A 24,630-nucleotide genomic window follows, 5' to 3' on the forward strand; every position below is an offset into this window, starting at 1 on the left:
TAGAAAGGTGAACCTTTTGGAGGTGATATGAACCGTGGGACATCAAACAGAATGAGGCCCCTGGACAACATCAGAGGAATCTCCTCTGTGCTTTTTATACCTTGAGTGAATAGTGGGGGGTGGGACCAGGAAATGGGAGAACAACAGGAAGCTACAGAAGTATTATGGCTTTGTGAAAGCTTTGTGAAAACATTTCTCTTTTGCTGGGTCTGGACCCATAAATTGCATGTGTCCTGTAACTTGGGAAGAAACTGGGCTCAATGCAATTACTTAGTTTCTGTCAAAAAACAAGCAATTTTTGTGTTATATTACTCCAGGAACTTAGAAGGCCCACAGCTCCTAAAGTGTCCCCTAAATGGATCCTGGGTATAAGGGGCTCATAGGTATAGTAGGACAGAGTTAAGGGGCAAAACCACACTGTAAAAAATCCTCTAGTATGGAAATCTGTACTTTATTCTGCAGTCCGTAAGGAACCACGGATGAGTTTCTTGCTTGTAATGGATTCATTAGGTCAGTGCCTAAGAAATAAATTGCGGTAGGGTAGAATATACGATGTATCAGGATTAATTGAGAAAAGCTGAGGACTTAAAGACAAGATCTTGGCAAATATACCCAATAAACTTAGCAAGATATAAAAGTTGGACAACATTGTCTAGTTTTATGGGGAGGTAAGAAAGAGAGAGGAGTCAGAGGTAGCACTAATATTTCCACTTTGTATTAATCTATTAAGTAAGAAAAAACTTAAAGTATGAGGAAAAGGCAGTGAGTTCTTTTTTTAGGCCTATCAAGCTTTAGGTATAGAAGGGGTGATTCAGGAAGGATGTTTAGTGAGCAATGACATAAATGAGGCTGGGGTTCAGAAGGCAGATGGGGTCTGGAGACACACATTTAGCATCATTCAGCTGAACTTACAGGTGTGGAAGAAACCACTCAAGCAGAATACAAGTAAAGACAGAAGATACAGAGACTAACATTGAGAGCCTACCATGTTTGAAGGACTGTGGAAGAAGAGAAATAAGAATATTGATTAGGCATTTTTGGGGATGTGAGGAGGAGAACTAGAAGACAATAGTGAAGAAACATGTGCCCGAAGAATAAAGAGCTCTATATACAAGAGTTTTCAGAGGAGCCTTTTAAATGACAACAAAGAGTTTTCAAAATAATTTTAAACTGGAAAGCAGGGTGTAAAATTATATATATACTATGATTACAAGAATGCAAAATATGTCTACACAGACATGACATGGCTTTTGAGTGGATTATTTCCTTTTGTAATGTCCTTTAGTTTTATTTTAATGTGCAATATCAAATGAAACAGTAGGTTGAATACAGTGTTTTGGGGTAAATCCCTGTACTCCAGAGAACTCTGACTCCCATATAGTAATGGGGTTCTCTGTTTTTTCCCAGACCTTTTAATGATAAAAAATAATAATGCCAAGATTTGTATGAGAAATGTTAGGTAGTGAGCAAAGTTCCCAGCAATCTCTGATACAGGAAGCAGACAAGCTATGCATTGTAAGTGCATCACCTTTGCCTTGGGAAAGTATATAATGACACCTCAGTTTTTACCGTTAAAAAAAATTGGTTAGGAAAAAGAAGTCAAAGGCATTTCAATAGGTAAAATAAAATGTAGACAGGAGAAGACAAAAAACCCCTACAGACGTGGAGGTGTGAAAGAGACCAGATTCATCTTACATTAGATGAACTCCAGGTAAGATTGGTGGAGGGACCAGCTGGGTTGGGGATGTCTGTAAATCAGCGATTAAGTTGGTGGAAAGTAGATGTAACAATTAAACCTAAATATTTATTGGGCACGTATTCTGTGAATGTCTTTGAATGACTTTATGTGTTTCATCTCATTTAACTCCTTAAATGACCCAAGGACAGGTATTATTCTTGGGTCCACTTTAAAGAAGAGAGGAAGTATATGTAACACTTTTCTTCTTCTGAATATACAAGGTTTTCTTCTCTCAGATAGATATTCTGGCTTGGGAGATCAATTTCTTCAATGTCTGTACTGAAAAAATTGGAATCTCATGATATGACAAGGTGTTAAGGGCAGCAACAACTGAACCTGTTTCCATGAAACAAACAGTTTACAAACTAAATCATGCATTTTCCCACAATTGTTGACTGAGAACCCACTACACACCAAAAACTGTGCCAGGCTGGAAGGACATTGTCAATGCACCATGAATTGCCTTGGCAATATATGCACAATTTACTCTTAGAAGAGGAGGAAGAAGAATTATTTTAGACAATGATAACTGACGAGGGAATTGAGCATCTACCCACATAAGTCAGACAAACTGGACTCCCTGGAGCTATCTGGTTGCTGCCAAAATCCCATAACATCATGAACTCATGAGACAAGAAGAAAAGAAATCAAGCAGACAATTTTCAAAAGTCACTATAGTTTAAAGAAATCATCTGGACTTATTGCTTTACACAAAATCTGATTCTTAGCAACTGTAGCTCTTGGCATAAGCAACACAGTGAAGTGTGTCCAGGCAAATGACAGAAGCTGCTCTGCTTCTTCTGAGACCAGCCTAGACTCTGCAGAATGTCGAGCAAGGAGGGCATCATAAACCTGGGGACCACCACAAGGTGATGGGAAGATGGCTGGTCTGACTCTCCAGGGTGTTCACTGGGTTGTGTTAATTAGGGGAAAAGAAAATTTTGTATGTGGTTGGTGCTCTAGTACACTCCTAGTGGTCCTTTGATTCATTCAAGATGCTGGTTTTCCATGGTTGTATTTTTGAAAAATCTGCTGTTATTCATATCATTGTCTTTTACTATGCAATATGTTCCCCCCACCCATTTTATGATTTTGTCTTTATTATGGCTTGAGTAATTTGATTATGATGTGCCTTTGTGTGCCTGTGTGTGTGTTTATATTGAGGTTTTGAACCTGTGGATGTATGGTTTTCAACAAATGTGGAAAAACTCATGCCACCATTTCTTTAAATAGCTTTTCAATCTCCTCATCTTTCTCTTAGTCTTTCTTTTAGGTTAGCAGCTAGGACTCCAATTACACATATAGTATGCTGCTTGAAGTTGTCCCCAGTACTGCTTTTATTTTATTATTTTTTAATTTTTGTGTTTTATTTTGGATACTTTATATTGCTATGTTATCAGTTTCACTTTTTTTCTTCTGCACTATCTAATATTTGTCTATCATGAATACAGTTATAGCAATTATTTGCCTGGCTGGGTGCAGTGGCTCATGCCTATAATCCCAACACTTTGGGAGGCCCAGGCAGGTGGGTCACTTGTGGCCAGGAGTTTGAGACCAGACTGGCCAACCCCATCTCTACTGAAAATAATAATAATAAAAAACTTAGCTCGGTGTGTTGGTGCATGCCTGTAGTCCCAGCTACTTGGGAGGTGGAGGCACAGGAATTGCTTGAACCTGGGAAGTGGATGTTGTAGTGAGCCGAGATTGCACCACTGCATTTCAGCCTGAGCAACAGAGTGACACTCTGTCTCAAAAAAAAAAAAAAAAAAAGTTAATTCAAATATACTCAGTCAAATCTGAGTTGGTCTTCTTTGGTTGATTTTTTTCCCTCATTATCAGTCATATTTTCCTCCTCCTTTTGATGCCAGTAATCTTTGATTGGGTGCCAGACATTGTGTATTTACCTTGTTAAATCCTAGATATTTTTGTATTCCTATACATATTCTTGAAATTTATTCTAGGACACATATTAAATTATTTTAAAAGGTTTGATCTCTTTGGATCTAACTTTTAAGATTTTAAAGGAAGGATCAGAGCAGCATATGATGTAGAAACAGTGATTTTACTCTGCTGAAGCAAGACTTTTCTGAATACTCTAACCTACTACCCCATGAATCTTTCTCAGTCTGACTGGTGGGAACAAAAATTATTCTCAGCTCTGTGTGAGTTCCAGGTACTGATCCTTCCAGATGGTTCTTTTCCCATGTCAGTTTCCTCACATGCATGCACTGATTGAACCCTTTTCAGATCTCTAGGTTTTTCTCTCTATGCAACTCTCCAGAGTAGTATGTTCTGCAGACTGTAGCCACCTTGGTCTCCCAGGACTCTCAGCTTAGTATTCTCAAATCAGGGAGTCCACCTTGGTTTCCTCTTCCTGAGCCATAGTCTAAAAATTCTCTTAAAGCAATAATAAAGCTCAGGCAATCACTTGCTTCCTGTCTTTCAGGATTATTGTCCTTTACTGACTGATGCCCAGTGCCTTGAAAACTATTGCTTCATATATTTTGTTTGTTTTTAGTTATTTCAGATGGAAAGGTAAATCTTGTTCCTGTTAGTCTATTGGAAGAATGCTTCCTTTCTCTTTAAATATTTTAAAACATAGATTGTGGGCCTTGTCCTGTGCTGGGCCCTTTAGTCAATCTTTAATAGCTATACAATATTATCTTCACTCCTTACGTCAATAAATTTGACAGGATGGAAAGGATGTCCTAGATAAATAAATCAACTGTAGGAAGGATGGAGTGTGAATGCTAAGATGACACCATAAGGGTATGTGAGATGGCAGGAAGGAGAGTGACCTGAAGGAGTTGGGCCTGTCAAACCACATTATGGAAAAAGGGATGCTTGAAGGCTGGGTAGGACCTGAATAAATGGAGAAGAAAGGGAAGGAAATGCCAGCATGCCAAGACACAGATGATCACATCTCTATGGAAAAATGGGCTCTTCAGGACCCTTTAAAACCATAGCAAGCTCTGACTGCTCTTGCAGATACAGTGAACTGTTTATTCAGATGTGCCAGAGCATATAATAAAGGGGCGTAATTCTAAAGTGAGGGTCTTCCCACCGAATCTCCTGAGAACCACATCCAGATGTTTGAGATAATGACACTCTGGGTTTGTGCATGTGATTTGCATTCATTTCACAAACCTGTGCCTTTCTTTCTCCTTGACTACTCTCCAACCATGACTGGAATATAGCTTTCTTTACTTTCATTCCTGGCATCTTCACTCTTTTTTAGCATCTGACAAGCTTCGAATTTAGAACCAAGTTATACTTTATATCATACATTGTAAAAGCCTCATTTTTTGTATTACATCATCCAGTTTGATAACATGTTTTTGGACTGGATATTATTTCTCATAGGGTGAGGCAGAAATGTCAGGTATACATTTGAAGAAACTGAGGATCACAAAGATGAAGCGATTTGCTTGGGGACACATACTTGTGAGTATATGAGTGCTGGGGAGTTGGATTAACTCTTTCAGAAGGTCTGAATATCTAATCCATTTTAGTTTGGCAATGCCTAGTCAGTGAAGCATGTGTGCGCACATACACATGCACACGTATATGCACACACACATACATACATGTATCAGAATGTCAACTGGTGGGTCAGATCAGGTGGTTGTTGCAGCTGGTGAATTTGGCCTGTGGCTGTAGTTTGCTGACCTCCTGAACAAGATGACCGTTTCATTGTGGAGAAAATGGTAACATCAATCCATATTCATTTTATCTTACTTTTAAACATTTCTGTTGTTGAGTTGTATCATAACATACACGGGTATATTACGCACAGTGGTTCGGGTATGTACAGGTGTTTGACGATAACATACATTGGCATTACATGCTCAAAGCCCTTTTGTTGAAAATAATACATAAATCATAGCAGACATTTAATGAGCAGATACATTGTGCCAGGTGTGGCTTCTAAACACTTTATATGGATTAATTCACTTAATTCTTGTAATTAACCAATAAGGAAGGCCCTACTTTTATCCCCGTTTTACAGATAAGGAAACTGAGGCACTGAAACAAAGCTGTGTGATCAAAAATCTTACCCACCACTTTCTTAGGATTTGGCTAATCTCTGAGTGCTGTGGTCTTGTGTTTGGGGGTTCAGGTGTTAGGTCAAGGGTATACAATATTAATTCAAAGTGATGTGTGGGCACAGATAAATAGCTGCTTCATGTCAGATGCCATGTGAAGAGCTAAATATTTGCTAACCCATCTAGGCAGGCACCATGAGAACACATTGTTTAACTCCACAGTAGCCATGTAAAGAAGGTATTAATTTTCTCATTTTACAGATGAGGAAACTGAGGTCCAGAGAGGGTAAGAACTGATTCAAGGTTCCACTTCTAGCAAGTGAGGGGGCTTGATTGGAAACGAAAACCAGCTTTCGCCTAGCTCTGACCATCCAATTCTGGGCCACTTACTCTCTCCAAAAGTTGAGACATTCCCTAAGCCCCTCAAACCAAGAATTTCTCAGGGAGCCATTGTCCCACAGAGTACACTAAGCTGGGACTCCACTCATTCCTAGGTAGAAGGGAGTCCCAGGGCACATGGTCTGGCCCATGCAGCTCCTAAATGGGACCTAGTCCCATCCTGTCCTGCACATCCATTAGTAGAGTCTACTTTCTCCTCTAGGGACCAGGGAAGATAAAGAATAAGGTAGATATGGTTCAAATTATAGTATCAAGCCTTGATAATTGAATTAATAAAAGAAGGAAGGAAGGATAGAAAGAAGAAGGGAGGGAAAGAAGTGAGGAAGAAATAAGATCAGGCAGGTGTGGCCCTAACCAGCACTGAGCAAGCTGCTTTCTGAGCTCTAGTTTTATTATCTATAAGACGGAGACAGTAATAGCCTCTACCCCAGACATCTGAAGGATTTGATGATGTTATGCATATCAAGCAGGTGCTCTATGCAAATGGACGGACGGAGAGGAGGCTTGGTCTCCTTGTTGGAATGTTTCTGGGACCAATTCTTAGGCCTAGAAGAGACTACAGGGAGCCTTTTCTCCATTCATATGTTGGAGGGCCTTCTGAGTGTGGCAGCCTCTTAGAGAACAAGAATCTACCCAGAGTCCTAGGTATGGGGTTGGCTGGGGTCTGCTGGGACATGTTAACTGTTCTACTTTATGACCCAGAATGTCTACCCTAATATGTAAAGTTCTGGGTTGTGAATAACAGACCCCATAGGCTGACCCCAAGGCCCAGAAACAGACCACTGGCTCTGTGGTAAACATAGAGTAAGATACACATATTATGATCATAGGTGGCCTGTTGGGATGCCTACAGAACACATGGTGCTTCTGGCACTCTTTGTATCAGTTAAGTTTAGTTCTAATTTTCTGCCTTTGTAATTCCCTTCCTCCCTCTCTTCCTTCTTCCCTCTCTCCCTCCCTCCCTCCCTTCCTTCCTTCCTTCATTCCTTCATTCCTTCCTTCCTTCCCCTTCTTCCCCTCCCTCCCTTCCTTCCTCCCTCCCTTCCTTCCTTTTCCTTCCTTCCTTCTCCTTCCTTCCCTCCTTCCTTCCCCTTCCTTCCTTCTTTCTTTCCTTCCCCTTCCTTTCTTCCCCTTACTACCTTCCGTCCTTCCTTCCCCTTCCTTCCTTCCTTCCCCTTCCTACCTTCTGTCCTTCCTTCCCCTTCCTTCCTTCTCCTTCCTTCCTTCTCCTTCCTTCCTTCCCTCCCCTCCCTTTCCTTCCTTCCCTCCCCTCCCCTTCCTTCCTTCCTCCCCTCCCCTCCCTTCCCTTCCCTTCCCTTCCCTTTCCTTCCTTCCTTCCTTCCTTCCTTCCTTCCTTCCTTCCTTCCTTCCTTCTCCTTCCTTCCTTCCTTTGTTCCTTAATTCCCTCCCTCCCTCCCTCTTTCCTTCTGCAGCAAATACTGTTTGAGAAAGAACTCTGCCTGCTAATAGAGATAACAGTGCATTCTGCTACAGGATTTTACAAATAAGCTAGGAGAAATGCATAGAGAAGGAAGAGATAAGGGCAAATGGAAAATGGATAGAAGGAAAGGTGAAAAGGAAGAAAAGGAAGAGAAAGAGGGAGAAAGAAATGAGGAAGGGGTGAAGATGAAAAAGAGGCAGAGGAGGGGACAGGAAAGAGGACTGGGAAACAGAAAATATAAGGGGAGAAGGAAAGGCAGAAAAGGGAAAGAAGAAGAAAGGAAAGAAGAAGAGGCAGAAGAAGGAAAACAGGCCTCTTGAGTATTTTCTATGGCCCTTCAGCCAGTCTTGTTTATTTGGAGCTGGTAGAGATATATCTATGTCCAACTCTCACCAAGGGGAGCTCATAAATAAATACCTCTGGGTAGGAGCAGATATCTGTAAACACAGCTGAGGAATTGAAAGTCAGGTTCTTCAAGGGTATCGACTTGTCAAAATCACACCACAGCTGCGGATTAAAAAAAAAAAAAAAAGAACAACAAAAACAAAAACAGGAACAACAAAGTCAGTGTGAGTGCTGGAAATGGAGCAGTGTGCTATCAGTGGCTGGGCTTCAGCACGAGCCTGGGTAGACTGAACCCTAGAGGGGACTTGAAGTCAGAATGGAAGTGCCAAAGTGCCAGCTTTGATTTCTTTTATTTAAAAAACAAGTGCTTGCTCAGAAAGACCTTTTGTAAGCCAGTCATGAAACTAAGTTTAGACTGCTCTGTTGGCCCCATCATTTAAGGTCACTGGAGTGTGCTTGTGGAGCTCAGAAGAGAAAGCCAGATGGCAGGAGAAGAGGTCTTGGGTAAACTCATAGCCTGTCTCCAGATCAACAGCTGGGAGGACTTGAAGAATCTGAAGGGGTACATTTTCCAGAAAGACTCTTAGCACTGGGGTGATGGGCATTTCCTAGGACAGAAGTTGCTGCAGGAGATTTTGTGGTATTAGGAAAAGAATAACTACCATTGGCCAAATGCCTCCTCTGTGCCAGACACTTTGTACAAAAAAGCCTCACAACCACCTTGTGATGTAGCTGCTATTTTTAATCCCCATTTTACAATTGAAAAATACGAAACTCTGAGAAGTAAAGTAACTTGTCCAGTGTCACTGAGCTGGTGACTGGTGGATCTGAGATTTGAACACAGGTCTATCTGACTCCAAAGCCTCTGATCTTCCTACCACACTACTCACTGAGGCACAGTTGGCCTCAGAGGTAACCCTGACCTACAGTCATTGGGCTTACTTACAAATTCTGCACCCCAGAAATATCTAATTTGTTATCAAGACTTAATTTAAGGTCCTGGCTGCTTCTCTGCAGCCTGTGATCAATTGATCCCATGTACTTCCATTTCAGTTATCATAATCTATAAAATATTCATTAGATGATGAACTAAATTAGATGATAATTTTCCTTTTCCTCTTTTCCTTTATCCACAGAGCCTTCACTAGAAGGACAACCACAGAACTTAAGTAAGGTAATTACTGGGCCAAATTGGACAGTGATTTCAGGCAGTCTAGGGCTCCAAGTCACAGGCCAACAATTGTGGGAGTCTATAGCTTGGGTCCCTGCACACTTGGGGACCCTCCCTCAGGCCCAAAGGGCACAGTGATGGATTCAACCACATGACAATGCCTCAACTAGCCTCTCTCAACAAGCCAAGTTTAAGACCTGGAACCAAACAAATCACCTCAAAAATCTAGCTGCCTGAGTCATGGACAACACAGACTACTTGTAAAAGCACAGAAAATACCTATAGCTACCATGGTACAATTCTTGAGAAAAAATGAAACCATGACAATGTGGGTCAGCAAATTAAACAGTGATAAATATCATGGCAGTTGGAAATTCATCTGAGTTCTATGTGTCACGTGAAATACAAACTTTTAGAAAGTATAGGTGAGATACTCAGCTTTCCTGAAATGCAGTTTCCTCATCCATTAAATGGGGACAATAATACCTACCTGTAGCACATAGTAGGTGCTCAATAAATGGCAGCTATTTCATTTCCATTTCCCCCACCCCACTCCCACTCCCAGAGATACAATTTAGCATATTAGAGGGGCGTGGGTCATGGAGTCAGACAGACCTTATTATCAAGTTATTTCATGTCTCTGAGCCTCAGTTTCCTCAGCCATAAAGTGGGGATAATTAAACTTACCTCACGGGGTTTATGTGAGGATTAAATATGAAAAATATGTAAAGGTCCTCCTTCAGTGCATGGCACATAGCAGGTAGGTACTGGTACTTGATACATGGTAACTCTTATTTATGATGTAATTGGCTACTGACAATATGGAAATTGAAGGGCTTTTGGAACTCCTTTGGAGAAAATAACCTATCCCACTGGGAAATAGACAGTTTTCCAACAGTAAAATGCACAGTTTTGGCAGTAGCCACATCTTTGTTATCTGTCCCTAAGCTTGGGGCTGGACCAGGCACATAAAGGTAACTGGTACCAAGGAAGGGTAATGCAGGAAGCTGCAGGCTCCATAAACTTCATGCTCAACTGCACACTAGACACCAGAGGGTTGGTGGATGTGGGATGCTTACGATATTTAAGATGGCACCCAGGAAATTAATCAAAATGGATGCAAAGATGATGACGTTCCGGGCCAAATAGGTCTCATTAATCCAACAGCAAGTTTTCCGGAGGATGAGGGGCAAACATTTATAATCCTCTGCTGTGGTGATGAGGACCAGAGCCGAGTGCAGCATAATCAGAATGGAGAACTGGATGGTCATTGGCATCACTCTGCAGGGAAACACAGAATGTTGGGTCATTGGCATCAATTGTCTGAGCAACACTGAAATTCTATTCCTGGTCTTCCTTTCCCATCCCTTGCATCGGATACTTCTTTGAAAGTTCTGTTTGTCCAAGAAAAAGGTTATTAGCAGGAGAGATTTTTAAAAATTACATGCATCCCTAGAGCACTCTCTCTATTGAGAAACTTTGCAAAAAAACAGAATATTTGGCTTGATTTATTGCTCCTGCCCATTTTTTCCCTCTTATTAATTTTTGTCACTAGGCAATTGCTGTCATGGCAACACACCACTCTAGTTTGATATCAACACTCTGGCTGTGGGATGAACCCACATACCCTTTTCCCTTCAAGGTGGGTTTTATGAAGATTTCCCCCTCCACCTATCCTGATACCAAGAACTGGATTTGGCATTGGTTTTAAGTTGCTCAGGTTGGTTCCTGGTTTTGTGGTTTTCATGGACTATACCATAAGTTATTTGAGACATGGGTAAGGAGAACTCATCCTTGTCCAAGGCATCAGCATCACTCTCGAGTTTACATCTCGAGTTTCAAACTCTCATCAAAACTCTGTCCCATGGTAGCCTGTGTCAGTTGGACACCTGTGCTCGGTGTCAGGATGCTTAGTCAGTCTGTGATCTAAAACTCCATCTCTGGAGGCATCTTTAACTCCTGTCTCCCCTATCAACCTATTTATCACCATGCAATCTGCTTCTCCTTGGGAATTAATTCTTTGTTCTCAACTCTGTGTAGCCATTCATGTTCTACACTGGCAGCTCTAATTTTTCCATCTCTATTTCAGGCAGCAAACTGATGCAGGTGTTAAAGGGTACCTTGATAGAAGTGGAGGGAAATTTTATATCTGCTCCTTTTTCTATAAATTGAGGTTTATTCATCTGGCATTAATATCTTCCATTGGCCAGTGCTAAATAAATGTGTGTTCAGCAAATAAAGTTGAACTCACCTTCTTTTCCTAACACCATCTCTTACTATCCTCCTCCTTAAACTTCTTATGTATTATTAATAACACTAGTATAAATAATGTATCGAGATCTGATTATGTGTTAGCCACTATGCTGAGCATTTTATATATAATATCTAATTTCCATTCCTTAGAATGAACCAAAGAGGTCTTTTTATCTCTTTTTTTCCAGATGAAGATTCAAGGCTCAGAGGGAAGAAACTTCCCAGGCATCATACAGTTGGTCAGTGTTAGAGCCAGAATTTAAAGTCCACTCTGTTATACCGTTCTGATATTCTAATCACTTTGGTGAGTAATAGATCTCCCATGTTTGCAATCATCTTTTTTGCTTTTATGGTTTCATCATAATATTTATTTATTCAACAAGTCTTCTTCCCAGGTATACAGTGGCAGGCATCAGGGTACTGGGGCCAAAGACACATCTTCCTCATCTAGGTGATTATAATTGAGAGAGGAATATAAACATGCAAATGATGAACTATTATATAATATTCCGGGATCTATAAAGAGTTCTAAACAAACATCAACTGAAAAATAGGAAAGGGAATCAAGGGAGGCTTCATAAAAGAGGTGACATTGGGTTAGGCTGTGAAGGTTAAAGAGAAGGCTTGCAGGTAGGAAAGAGTGGGGAGCATGAGCAAAACATCAGAAGAATGGGAGTGACCAGTGTCTTCAGAGTTTCCCAGTAACCCAGGCAGTGTGGCTGTGCTCAGGAGCTTTGTCCTGTAGGCAATGTGCAGAAGGAAGTAATCAGATCTGCGTGTTTGAAAGACAACTGTGGTGGGAGGTGGAGGATGAAGTGAAGAGGAAACGTGTTCAGAAGAGTTAAATAGTTAAGGCATGAGTTAATGAGGGAGGAACACAGGGGAACAGTATGATAATTGGGGGGTGCAGGGAAAGATGTGGAGGTATATTAATCTGTGTTTTGTATGTATGTGTAGAGGGTATTTGAGAGAGGGAAGTCATTAACGATGACATTAATGTTTTTTATTGTAACTGGTAAATGCAGGAAAAGAAGCTAGTCTGTACAGGAGATAAGTTGATAAAGTTGATTTTGGACACAATGCATGTTTGGTACTTGTAGATCATTCAGTTACAGATATCTAGATGTCCAGGCAGTGAGGGACAATTGAGGAACTCTGAGGCTGGAGGGAATAGGTGGTGATTGAGATCAAGGAATGGAAGCATTTGCCCAAGGATAGTGTGTACAGCAAGAATCAAGAGGACCCAAGATGAGCTGTGGGGGATGCTAATGGGCTGGAAGAAGAGAAGACAGCAAAGGGAGTTTATGAAGTGTGGTTAGATAAGCAGGAGAGCAGGAGTGCATGGCATCATGGCAGCAGGGGGGATAAGAAATTCACAAGGAAAGAGTAACCAAGAATGTCAATTTCCTCTGCATGATGAGGCTACTTTAAGGCTGGAAAGTGACTCCTCCCACAGCCTCAGCTATTGTTGGTAGAGGTTTTTTTTGTTTGTTTTTGACTAGCAAAGTTTTGATTTTATGGATCACCTTGACAAGAAATCTCTGTAGGAGTTCTATATAAGAACAGAAGGTTGGTGCATCAGTGAGTTCCCAGAGGGCTCTAGGCAGATGGGAAACTTCCCTCCAAACAGGCTGGAAAAACACTCCCTGACAACACACCATTATTTCTGGGCACCAGGGGGAGATAAATGAAAGAGAATGCAGGCGGATCGCTTTGTCAGGAAGTCCCATGAGAGAGGGGGCCAATTGCAAGGCTCATGTGGCTCATTCACATGAGGAAACCAACGAGTATAAAAATGTCTCTTTTCAAAGTGTGAGACAGAAGCAAACCAGGGAAAGGCAGCTTTGAAAGACGCTGAGTTGGAGCCTCAAATTCTTACATGGCCACCACTGCCTGTGGACCTCCACATGGCATACAGGGCCTTGAGTGTCTGCTCTTGGCTCTCTCTCCTGCCTTTTTTTTTTCCTCCCTCACCCTTCTGCACCCCATGGTCTGGACAATGCTGAACTATGTGCAGTCTGTCGCCAGTGCTATGCACTTTCTGCCTTATGGGCACTTAACATGGTGTGTCCTGTTATTCCTGCAAGGCTCAGCTTTCCTTTGGATTCTTCCATGACACCTGGCATAGGGCTGAGTATACAGAAGGTGCTCAATAAGTATTCATTGACTTATGCTTTTTCTGGGAAGAGAAGACTCTGCTCCTCCCCTCAGCAGCCTTCACAGGGAAGAAGACTTCCACCTACATGCCCAGACTATCTCCCTGCCTGCTCACTATATCTCTCCAAGGAAGGAGGAAGGGCTAATCCAGAAACTATCGGGGGTGCTCAGTGGACCTCATTTTCCTTGGAGGGCAGGGCCATTGTTAAAGGTCAGTATATATGCACAGTTCAGACACTTATATTCTCCTCCTCTTCGATCCACTGAGATGACAGGGAAGCCAGAGCCTTGATCTACCCTATGGGAGGAGGGCTGGCCATCTCTTCTCTTTGGCCAGGGCATCTCTGCCTTTAAGGAAGAAAGCCCAGGTTGGCTTAACCCTGGCTCTGGCCACAGATGGCACCGTCTCAGGTCTGCCTCATTCACCTTTGACACTGGTGGAGTGCGTTGGTTTAATCTTTTGCAGCATCATAGTGGTAGGATCTCACACCAGAGTTTAACTGTGGGATATGAGGGCCAGCAGAGAAGAGATTCAGGATGGAGGCCATGTGGTCTCTTGACTTAAGCCACATTCTGTATTCCAGCTTTTATCACAGTTTTGCATAGGCTAAATGGGCAATTGTTTGGAAATTTGTAAAATTGATGTTTTTTTTTTTTTTTTTTCTCATTTAGCGATTGAACTTATGTGTAATCTTTGGCATGGCGGGGAGTTCATCAGGGTATCTATAGGGCTGTGTGGGAGGATTTGCACACAGAACTCACCTGAGTCCCTGACCCAGTTTTAAATGGCTTTCTTCTGGGTTTGCTGTAAAAGGGAAAGGGAGGTGAAAGACAGGCCATGTGGTCCAGTGGCAAGAGCAAAGTCTTATATGTTTGAACCTGTAGTTCTGAAGCATAACTAGTAGTGTGGTCATGGGCAAGGTAATTGATTCCTCTGAGAATTACTTTTTAATCTGTAAAACAGGGATTTTTTAAGCCTACCTTTTAAAGGAGGCTCTGAGATTAAACAAAGTCATAAAGTAGTATAATAAAAATTTAAAGAAATGTTAGTTCTCTTTCTCTATTCATCATGAAATTCAGGAAACCAAAAGCACTTTAAAGTTCTATGGCAAGGGTATTAATTACAAGATTAGCTTTTTAAGCAAAAGTACTGACACTGTGTATTACATTTCTCTGGAAATCTCTGCAGCAGTTCCTCAGCATTCATTTATTTCTTTACATGTAAACATTATAACATCAGATTGTACATTTTATCTAATTATAGAGCCACTCAGGCATCCAGGGGTTCTGAATTTGCTTTTGCATTGTTGGTGCACATAAGAGGCAAGGAAACCTTTCATTTCTGAAATCGAGTCTCAAAAAGAATGACTAGTTTTGCAAAGCTCTATCCAAATCATTTCTAGACATTAAGTCCTAATTATTCTCTGCAGTCTGTCTTTAAAATGGTTTGTATTGATATTGTGATTTGACATTTGCTGGGAAGGCAGGAATCAGTGGGGATGAGTGAACAGCCTATAGCAGCTTGTGGTGCAATAGGAAACAAAAACTCAGATTATACTGAAAGATGGCACCTGGACAACACTTTAGAATCTACAGACTCTATGGGTACAATAGTGTCTTTGATCCTTGCAGCAACCCTGAAGAAAGATATTCTAAGCCCTTTCAACAGATGAAAATACTGTGACTCCAAAAGGGAATTTGCCAGAAATAGGCTTGGTTAATTTAATTTTTACTGCAGTCTTGGCAAGTGGGCATTATCATTCCCATTTTACAGATGAGGAAACAGAGGTTTCAGAGAGGTTAAATACATACATATAGGTAGTATAATGCACAGAAAATAATAAGACCCAGTGCCTGCCTCTTTCCCTCCGTCCCTCCCTCCCTCCCTCCCTCCCTCCCTCCCTCCCTTCCTTCCCTCCCTCCCTCTGTAGGTCACTACCTCTCTTTCTTTTCCCTTTCCCTCCCTCCCTCCCCCTTTTCTTTTCCCCCTTTCTGCCTCCCCCTCTCTCTTTCTGTGTCTTTGTCTCTTTCTCATCATCACATGCAGACCAGATACATTGTTCTATAGTCCCAAGAAGTATTTTCTAGTCTTTCCTTCGTTTACCCTTCTTGGAGAGGAACATCTGTGGGCATGTGGAAATTAAAGGAAAGAGCTGGGTAAGCACTGTCTCTCTCTCTCTCTCTCTTTTTTTTTTTTTCCAGAGTCCATTAATTTTTGCTTTGGGGGCTAAGAATTAGCTGTGGTCATATGAGTAGAAACTCCCTCATCTGCCAAAAAAAATCCATGACAGAAGAAATGCGAGTGAAAAGCACCCACCATCTGTTTAGTTTCAAAGCATCAAACAGAAACAAAATGAGTTGGAGAGGGAACCAGCACATATTAAAGAAAGCTTTTGCTGTGTCTGGGGTAAATGGGCTACCCAATTCCCACAGCATATGGATTGTCTGGTCAGAGTTCAGTTTCCTTCCTTGTCAGGATTTTTCTCCTCGCTAGGTAAGGTTGGGGTGTGGGCTGTATTTCAGTTATGGGCTTCACCTTGAATTCTAGAGTTGGAGACTCCTTATGACTAGCTGCTGGGTGAGGGTCCAGGTCTCTTCCCCCTGAACCCCAGGAACCAGGGCATCAAGGCTTGCTCCCCTCCCCCACCCCGTCACACCACCTAGAAAGAAATCCAGCCCAGGCCCGCTGGGAAGTGTGAGGCTCGCTTCTCGTGGAGGACAGTGGCCCCTTCTCCTGTCCAGTGCCAAGTCCAGATCCGCGGGCTCATCCTGGTCTTCTCCATCTCTCTCATCCCCCACATCCAGCCAGTCACTGTGAACCGTCAACTCTCTGCCCTAAATATCTTAAAAATTCTTCCTCTCCTGTCCACCCTTCTGCCACTCTCTTCTCCTTATTATTTTGTGCCAGATTTTTTATTTGCAGTTGCCTCCTAATTGGTCATCCCAAATCCAGATTTCACTCCCACCTCTCCATCATCCCCGTTCAGTATGATCCTTCTAAACATGAATCTGATCACATCATCTCTTTCATTAAAATGCTTTAATGAAGACTCCTCTGCCAACCAGTCACAACGCCTCAATGAACTTCACAACTCCTATCCTTCAGAATGCTCTATTTCCAGCCCTTCCTCCCCTTAATCCTTCTCAGTCTTTTTCCATGACCTGGTGAGCTCCTTTAGGAGCCAGGTGAGCTGTCACTGTCATCTCCTCTGGGAAGCCTGCCCCAGAGGCAAAAGGACTACTTTTGCCTCACCCCAACTCCCACACATCGAATCCCAGCTTACACCTTTCCTATCACAATAGTCATCACCCCATATGATAGCTGTTCAGCTAATTGTCTTTTAGCCCTACTAGATGGTCAGCTTTATGATGGCAGAGACCCTGACTGTATATCCCCATCACTATCCAGCACAAACTGTCACACTGATGTTTGTTGAGTGTTTGCCAGGAATGTTAACACCTTGAGCTCTAGGAGTCCAGAGGAAGCAACAGACACGGCCGGGCCCTTCTTGGCTACCACCTTCCCATTGACAAGAGTGACTAGAGGAGCCCAGCAGGTTTGGCTGAATCCTGCCAGGCCCCACCAACACTCACAGCTCGCCACCCCGAGGTGCCTTCGGTCAGGACCCTAGTCCTCATTGTCTCTTAGGTAGTCAAGAAACTCATTCTTTCCTGGTATTCTCTGGTACCCTTCTTCTGATTTATTAATTGGATAACACATAAATATCGACATACATAGCATATACATATCTACATATGTGTCTACCTTCGTAGGATATAAGTAGCTACATATATAGTATATACACCTGGACAGATACATATATATTCCTTATGTCTTAGTCTCATTCCACCAGATTATACAGTCCAGGAGGGCAGGGATTTTGTTCTTGTCATCTTTTTTTTTTGTCTTGAGATTTATTCCTAGTGTTTGGAATAAGTCTGGAACATAATAACCACCAATGGCTGTTGGTGGGAGGACTCCTAGCCCACATTTGGCAAAAGTCATTAGTAACTTTTTAAAAATGGTAAAACGAAGCATAAATAAAGAAAACCACACAAAAGTATAGCTTAATTAGTTCTTATAAAGTGTCTGCCTTTGTAATGACCATCAATTCCTGAAATAGAACTTTGCAGGGCACACCAAAAGCCCATCCATTTGTGGGGTGGGGGAGGGGGGAGGGATAGCATTAGGAGATATACCTAATGCTAAATGACGAGTTAATGGGTGCAGCACACCAGCATGGCACATGTATACACATGTTACTAACCTGCACATTGTGCACATGTACCCTAAAACTTAAAGTAATAATAAAATAAAAATAAAAATAAAAACAAAAGCCCATCCATGAGCCCTGTCCCAATGATAATCCTCTCTGTCAACCCCCATTAATCACTTTCCATTTCCATTTCTTTATTAGTTTTATCCTTTCTTTATAGACACTACAGTTTAGTCTCATCCATTTTTATTAAATCTGATTTGTCTTTTAAATCTTAAAATCTGTAACTTGTCTCTTTATCCTTTTATCTTCCTTACAACGTATTTATCGAAAAACACATGCCTCTGACCCGTAGCATTTCTCACTGTCTGGATTTTACTGGTGTGTACTTAGTCAACATTCTCTGTCCTCTATAATTCCTGAAAATTGGAAGCTGGAATCAAAGGCCTGACCAAATTTAGGTTTGATCCCATTGGCAAGACCATAGGTGGTGTGCGCCCCCACCAGGAGGTATGGCTGTCTCTCTTGTTTGTGTTGATAGCATCCTCTGATGCTCAATTTGTAGATTCATTAAATCATTATGGGTTGGAATATGATGATATTTTAATTCTTTTATTTCTTTAAAATGTTATAGCTAGGATACTTTTATGATATTTCCCTCACTTACTATTTAGTGATCTTATGGTGAAAAGCCACTGGTTTCTCTCACTTTTTTACAAGTTTTCCAGATAATCAACCATTTCCCTATCATCCACTAAACACTACAAACTTAAAAAAATCATTACAAACTCATAAAGCTAAATATATTTGCTGGGTTTTGATAAGTATTTTAATAATTATCCCCATTGCAGCTCAAATTATTCCATCTTTGGACAGTGGGAACTTCTATAATGTGGCTCCTGCATTCTTTTGATATGATCCTAATAGTGTTTGATGGCATCCTTGCTTTCTTGTAGGACAAGATGTTCTAGGCTCATCTAGCACATTTCCTGTTCCAGCCCTAAAATTAGCCATATCTCCAAAATTGTTTTTTAAAAAACAGATATGTTACTTCAAGACCATAATCTAGCCCTGAGGTATGCTCATGGATGCTGAGTTGGTCATTCTTTCTAAATCTCCCCATAGGTGTTTCTCCAGTCCAGGATATCATCTTCCATTTAGTTGTTATGTCTCCTTAGGTGCCTCCTTGCTGTGACATTTTCTCAGACTTCCCTTGTTTTACATGACTTTGACAGGTTTGAGGAATACTGGTGAGGTGTTTTGTAGACTGTCCCTCAATTGAGATTTGTCTGAAATTTTCTTCATGATTACATTACGGGTTTGGGGAGGAAGACCACAGAGGTTATATGCCATACTTACTAGATCCCATTAACATAACTTATCACTGTTGGTATTAATCTTTATCCCCTGGCTGAGGTAGTGCTTGTGAGGTTTCTCCATATTTGCCCCCTGTACATAGTTTACTCTTTGGAAGAAAGTCACTTTTGCTGTTGCCCATACTTAAGGAGTGGGGAATTAAATTCCTCCTCACTGAGGATGAATTATCTTCATAAAATATGTAGACTTTCTCTGCATGGGAGACATATCATTAATTTATATTAGTATGAACTTGTGGATATTTATTTTATATTGTGGATTATAAATAAATATTACATTGTTTATTTTGTTGCTCAATTTATTCCAGCTTTGGCCCTCGGGGGCTCTTTTGTTGGTTCCTGTGTCCCTTTGAAATACTCCCATTATCATGTATATGTGTGTGTGTGTGTGTGTGTGTGTGTGTATGCATGTGTATGTATGTATGTTTTAGCACATTCTTATTTTCTGGCCCTACAAGATCGCCAAGGCTAATCTTGTATATTTCCTGTCTCACTGTTAGACTCAGACAGTTCTCCAAGGAGCCCTGGTTCCTTTTATTGGATATCGGCATTAGAAACCAAGATGTGAGTGGTAGATGTGCTCATTACCACTGAGGTGTCATTGCTTCCAGGCCCTCTCCACTGACAGAGGAAGGAAATGTATGTATACATTCTAACCTGTGCATATAAACATATCTATAAATATTCCTACATGTAACCATCTCTATCTATATTAAGCTATACATGAGTTCATATGGATGTCTCCAACTCTAATCCATTACCACCAGGATATTTCTAACTTTCTCCCTTCATTTGCATGTAAACTTCCATTCCAACAATGAGAAAACTGACTCCCACCATCTGCCATCCACTTACACAATTGTTTAGTTCCAGTATACCTATATAGGTGTTGCAAATTCTTAACCCATGCCTCAATGGGAAATTCCTATATCAACTACAGCACAGTGCTTAAGTGCAGTTTCTCTTGCCTTTAATCCTACAGACTTCTCTCATTTTCAAAGCTACTTAGTACACCATTTTACTCCCCACATCCCCTTCAGGGAGGTTGCTTCATACACTTTTAATACAGTTAGATTCTTTTGTCACAGTCTGATTCCATCATGGGATCCCCTAAACTCCTAAATAAAATGTTTTAAAGCCTGTATATATTAAAGTTCATTCTCTGTGCTGTAAAGTTTTATAAGTTTTGATAAATGCATGGTGTCAGGTATATACCATTACAGTATACTGAATGCACTACCCTAAAAAATATGCTGGACTTCATCTCTTTTATTCTCCTTTCCCTCATTCCCCAAGCTCCTCTCACCTAACGATCTATTTACCATTTCTATAGTTTTGTCTTTTCCAGAACATTATATAAATGGAATAATATATATAAAGCCTTTCAGACGGTTTCTTTCACTTAGGAATATGCATTTAAGGTTCATTGATGTCTTTGTGTGGCTGATATCTTATTCCTTCTTAAAATGGAATCTTACTTCATTGTCTGGATATGCCACAGAGTTTTTGTTGTTGTTGTTGTTTTCTCCAGCAAATGGTATTGACAGTTATTTATTTATTTATATATTAGTCATTGTACTAGGTATGTAGTGGTAGGTCATTGTTTTAATTTAAATTTCCCTTATGGCCAATGATGTTGAGCATTTTTCACATGCCTATTTGGTATCTGTATATCTTGTTTGGTGAGTTGTTTGTTTAAATCTTTTGTCCATTTAAAAAATTGGGTTGTTTTCTAGTTGTTGAGTTTTGGGAGTTCTTTGAATATTTTGGGTGGAAATCTTTTCCCAGACACATGTTTTACAAATATTTTCTTCTGGTCTGTGGTTTGTGTTTTCATTCTCAAACAGTGTCTTCCACAGATCAGACATTTTAAATTTCAGTAAAGTCTGACTTACAATTTTTTTCTTTCATGGATCATAATTTTGGTGGTGTGTCTTAAAACTCATCACCAAATTCAAAACCAAAATTTTATTTGTGTTTTCTTCCAGAAATTTTATAGTTTTGCATTTGGGTATATAAACCATTTTGTGTTAATTTTTGTGAAGGTTTAAGGTCTGTGTATAGGTTCAAGTTTTTGCATATGGATACCCAATTTCTTAATTTATTTTTTTATTTTACTTTAAGTTCTGGGACACATTTGCAGAACGTGCAGGTTTGTTACATAGGTATACATCTGCCATGGTGGTTTGGAGCACCTATCAATCCATCGTCTAGGTTTTAAGCCCTGCATGCATTAGGTATTTGTCCTAAAGCTCTCCCTTCCCTTGCCCCCCACCCCCAACAGGCCCCGGTGTGTGATGTGTCCCTCCCTGTGCCCATGTGTTCTCATTGTTCAACTCCCACTTATGAGTGACAACATGCGGTGTTTGGTTTTCTGTTCCCGTATTAGTTTGCTGAGAATTGGGCATCCAATTTTATCAGTACCATTAGTTAAAAAGAATATCCTTTCTCCATGGAATTTTCTTAACATCTTTGCTACAAATCAATTGATTATATTTGTGTGGGTGTATTTTGGGGCTTTTCTTTCTGTTCTATTGAGCGATGTGTTTATTCTTTCTTTAGCATCATACTGTAGCTTTATAGTAAGTTTTGAAATCAGGTAGTATTAATCCTCTAGCTTTGTTGTTATTCTTTTATGGTATTGTGTTGGCTATGCTATATTCTTTGTCTTTTCATACAACCTTTAGCATTGGTTTGTTGATATTATAAAACAGCTTGCTGAAGTTTTGATTGACAATGCATTGACCTATAGATCAAGTTGGGAAAAATTAACATTTTAACAATAGCAAGTCTTCCAATCCATGAACACAGAATATCTCTTCATTTATTTACATCTTTGATTTATTTCATCAGTGTTTTGAAGATTTCTTGTACAAATTTTGTTAAATTTATATTTAAGTATTTCATTTTTGGTGCTATTGTAAATAATATTGTTTCTTTAATTTCAAATTTCAACGTTAGATGGCTGATATAAAGGAAAACAATTGACTTTTGTATATTGACATTGTATTCTGTGACTTATTTGTTTATTAGTCTTAGAAATGTTTTGGTGGGTCCTTTGGGATTTTCTGTATAGAAAGTTATGTCATTGGTAGATAAACATAGTTTTATTTCTTCCTTTCTGATATGTATGCCTTTTATTTCTTTTTGTTGTTTTGTTTCAATAGCTAGGACTTCCAACATGATATTAAATACAGGTGGTGAGAGTGTATTTTTGTTTTGTTTCTGATATTGGGGGGAAGCTGCAGTCTTTTTCCACTAAAGATGATGTTATCTATAGCTTTTTTTTTTGGGAGATATTCTTTATCAAGTTGTAGAAGTTCCCTTCTGCTGCTAGTTTTCTGAGAGTTTTTAACATAAATGGACGTTGAAGTTTATCCAATGCATTTATTTGGCAATTGATAAGATCATATGATTTTCCTTCTTTAACTTACTAATATAGTTAACCACTATTGTTTGATTTTAGAATGTTGAATAAACTTTATATACCTGGGAGAAGTTCTGTTGGAGCATGGCGTATGCTTCTTTTTATACATTGTTAGATTTCATTTGCTAATATTTTGTTGAGAGGTTTTATGTTTATGTTTATGAGATATTGGTCGGTAGTAACTAGATTTTAATTTTGTTAATTTTCTTTATTGTTTTCCTGTTTTCAGTTTTATTGATTTTTGCCCTAATTGGTAGAATTTATTTTCTCCTTTTTGTTACAAGATTAAATTGCTTTTTGTTCTGTAGTTTCCCAAGGTAGAAGCTTAGATTGTTATTAATTTTAGATCTCTTTTCTTTTATAATATATGCATTTAATGTAAATTTTCTTCTAAGCACTGCTTTCATGGCATCCCACAAATTTGGTAAGTTGTGTTTTCATTTTCATTTAGTTCAATTTTGTTTTGTTTTGTTTTGTTTTTTTAGACCGAGTCTCACTCTCCCAGGCTGAATTGCAGCGGCGCAATCTTGGCTCTCTGCAAGCTCCGCCTCCCAGGTTCACGCCATTCTCCTGCCTCAGCCTCCCAAGTAGTTGGGACTACAGACGCCGGCCACCACGCCTGGCTAATTTTTTGTATTTTTTAGTAGAGACGGGGTTTCACCGTGTTAGCCAGGATGGTCTCGATCTCCTGACCTCGTGATCTGCCCGCCTCGGCCTCCCAAAGTGCTGGGATTACAGGCGTGAGCCACCGCGCCTGGCCCAAAATATTTTTAAATGTCTCTTGAAATCTTTCACTCACGTGTGATTGAAGAGTGTGTTATTTAATCTCCAAGTGTTTTGGGATTTTCTAGCTATCTTTCTATTATTGAATTTTAGTTTAACTCTACTATGATCTGAGAACATACTTTGTGTTATTTTTCTTCTTTTAAATTTATGAAGGTGTATTATGGCCCAGAATGGGGTCTACCTTGGTTACTGTTCATGTGAGCTTGAGAAGAATCTGTATTCTTCCATTGGGTGGAATAGTCTATTAATATTGATTAGGTAAATTCAGGTTATCTATATCTCTAATGATTTCCTGCCTACATGATGTATTAATTACTGACAGAGGGATGTTGAAGTCTCCAACTATAATAGTGGGTTTATTTATTTTTCTTTTCAATTCTATCTGTTTTTGCCTTATGTAGTTTGACATTCTCTTGTTAGGCACATAAATGTTCATATTGCTCGTTCTTCTTAGAGAATTGATTTTTTAATCACTATGTAATTTCCATTTTTATCTCTGATAATTTTCCTTGTTCTGAGTCTATTTGGTGTGAAATTGATATAGCTACTTAAGTTTTTTTTTCATTAATGTTAGCATGGTATATTTCTTCATTTCTTTAACTTATTTGAGTCTATACCTATAGTGGGCTTCTTGTATACAACATCTATTGGGGCCTTTTTTTTTTTATCTACTCTGACAAGCTGTGCTTTGTAATTGGTATCTTGAGACCATTAACATCAAAGAGTAATATTTTTGTGCTTGGTTTAACATCCATCATCTTTGTAACTATCTTTTTCATCCATTGCATTTATTCTTTGTTTGTTCACCTTGTTTAACATTCTCTCTGATTTTGATTGAGCATTTTATATGATTTAATTTTATTTTTTCCTAGCATATCAATTATATTTCTCTCTTTAAAAACGTTTTTTTAGTGTTTGCTCAAGAGCTTAAAATATGCATTTTAAATTAATGTAACTCAGCCTTCATACCACTTCATGTATAATGCAGTTACCTTAAAATAAAGCATTACCAATTCCTTCCTTATGTCCCTTGTGACATTGCTATTGTTCATCTCACTTTTATCCATATTTATAACCACCAAATACATTGTTAATATTGTTGCTTTAAACAAAAAATAATGTTTTAGATCAATTAAGATTAAGATAAAAACATTTTACTTAACTTCATTTATTTTTTCTCTGATGCTCTTTCTTTATGGAGATCCAAGTTTCTAATCTACATTATTTTCCTGCTGTTTGAAGAAATTTTTCACATTTCTTGCAGGGAATGTTGG

General features: G+C 39.8%; 1 protein-coding gene and 1 long non-coding RNA gene across 6 annotated transcripts in view; one reads left to right on the forward strand and one right to left on the reverse strand.

Moving 5' to 3' along the window:
• The window catches only part of ADCY8 (adenylate cyclase 8), a 260,609-nt gene that overhangs the window by 59,082 nt on the left and 176,897 nt on the right, over positions 1-24,630 (reverse strand). For 2 of the 4 annotated variants that reach the window (XM_006716501.4, NM_001115.3), the window contains 2 exons: positions 10,220-10,421; positions 8,042-8,131 (listed from right to left, as the gene is read on the reverse strand). In XM_006716501.4, the coding sequence (XP_006716564.1) occupies positions 8,042-8,131; positions 10,220-10,421 (292 nt within the window). The remainder of the gene's footprint in view (positions 1-8,041; positions 8,132-10,219; positions 10,422-24,630) is intronic. The other 2 variants (XM_017013006.2, XM_005250769.4) reach the window with 1 other exon arrangement.
• LOC105375762 (uncharacterized) overlaps positions 10,755-24,630 on the forward strand; it is a 34,014-nt gene continuing 20,138 nt past the window's right edge. Inside the window, exons 1-2 of one of the 2 annotated variants that reach the window (XR_928658.2) lie at positions 10,755-10,782; positions 11,582-11,697. This is a non-coding gene — a long non-coding RNA (uncharacterized LOC105375762). Of the gene's footprint in view, positions 10,861-11,581; positions 11,698-24,630 lie in introns of both variants that reach the window. The other variant, XR_928656.3, reaches the window with a different exon arrangement.

Source organism: Homo sapiens, chromosome 8, assembly GCF_000001405.40.
Source record: "Homo sapiens chromosome 8, GRCh38.p14 Primary Assembly".
Lineage (NCBI taxonomy): Eukaryota > Metazoa > Chordata > Mammalia > Primates > Hominidae > Homo > Homo sapiens.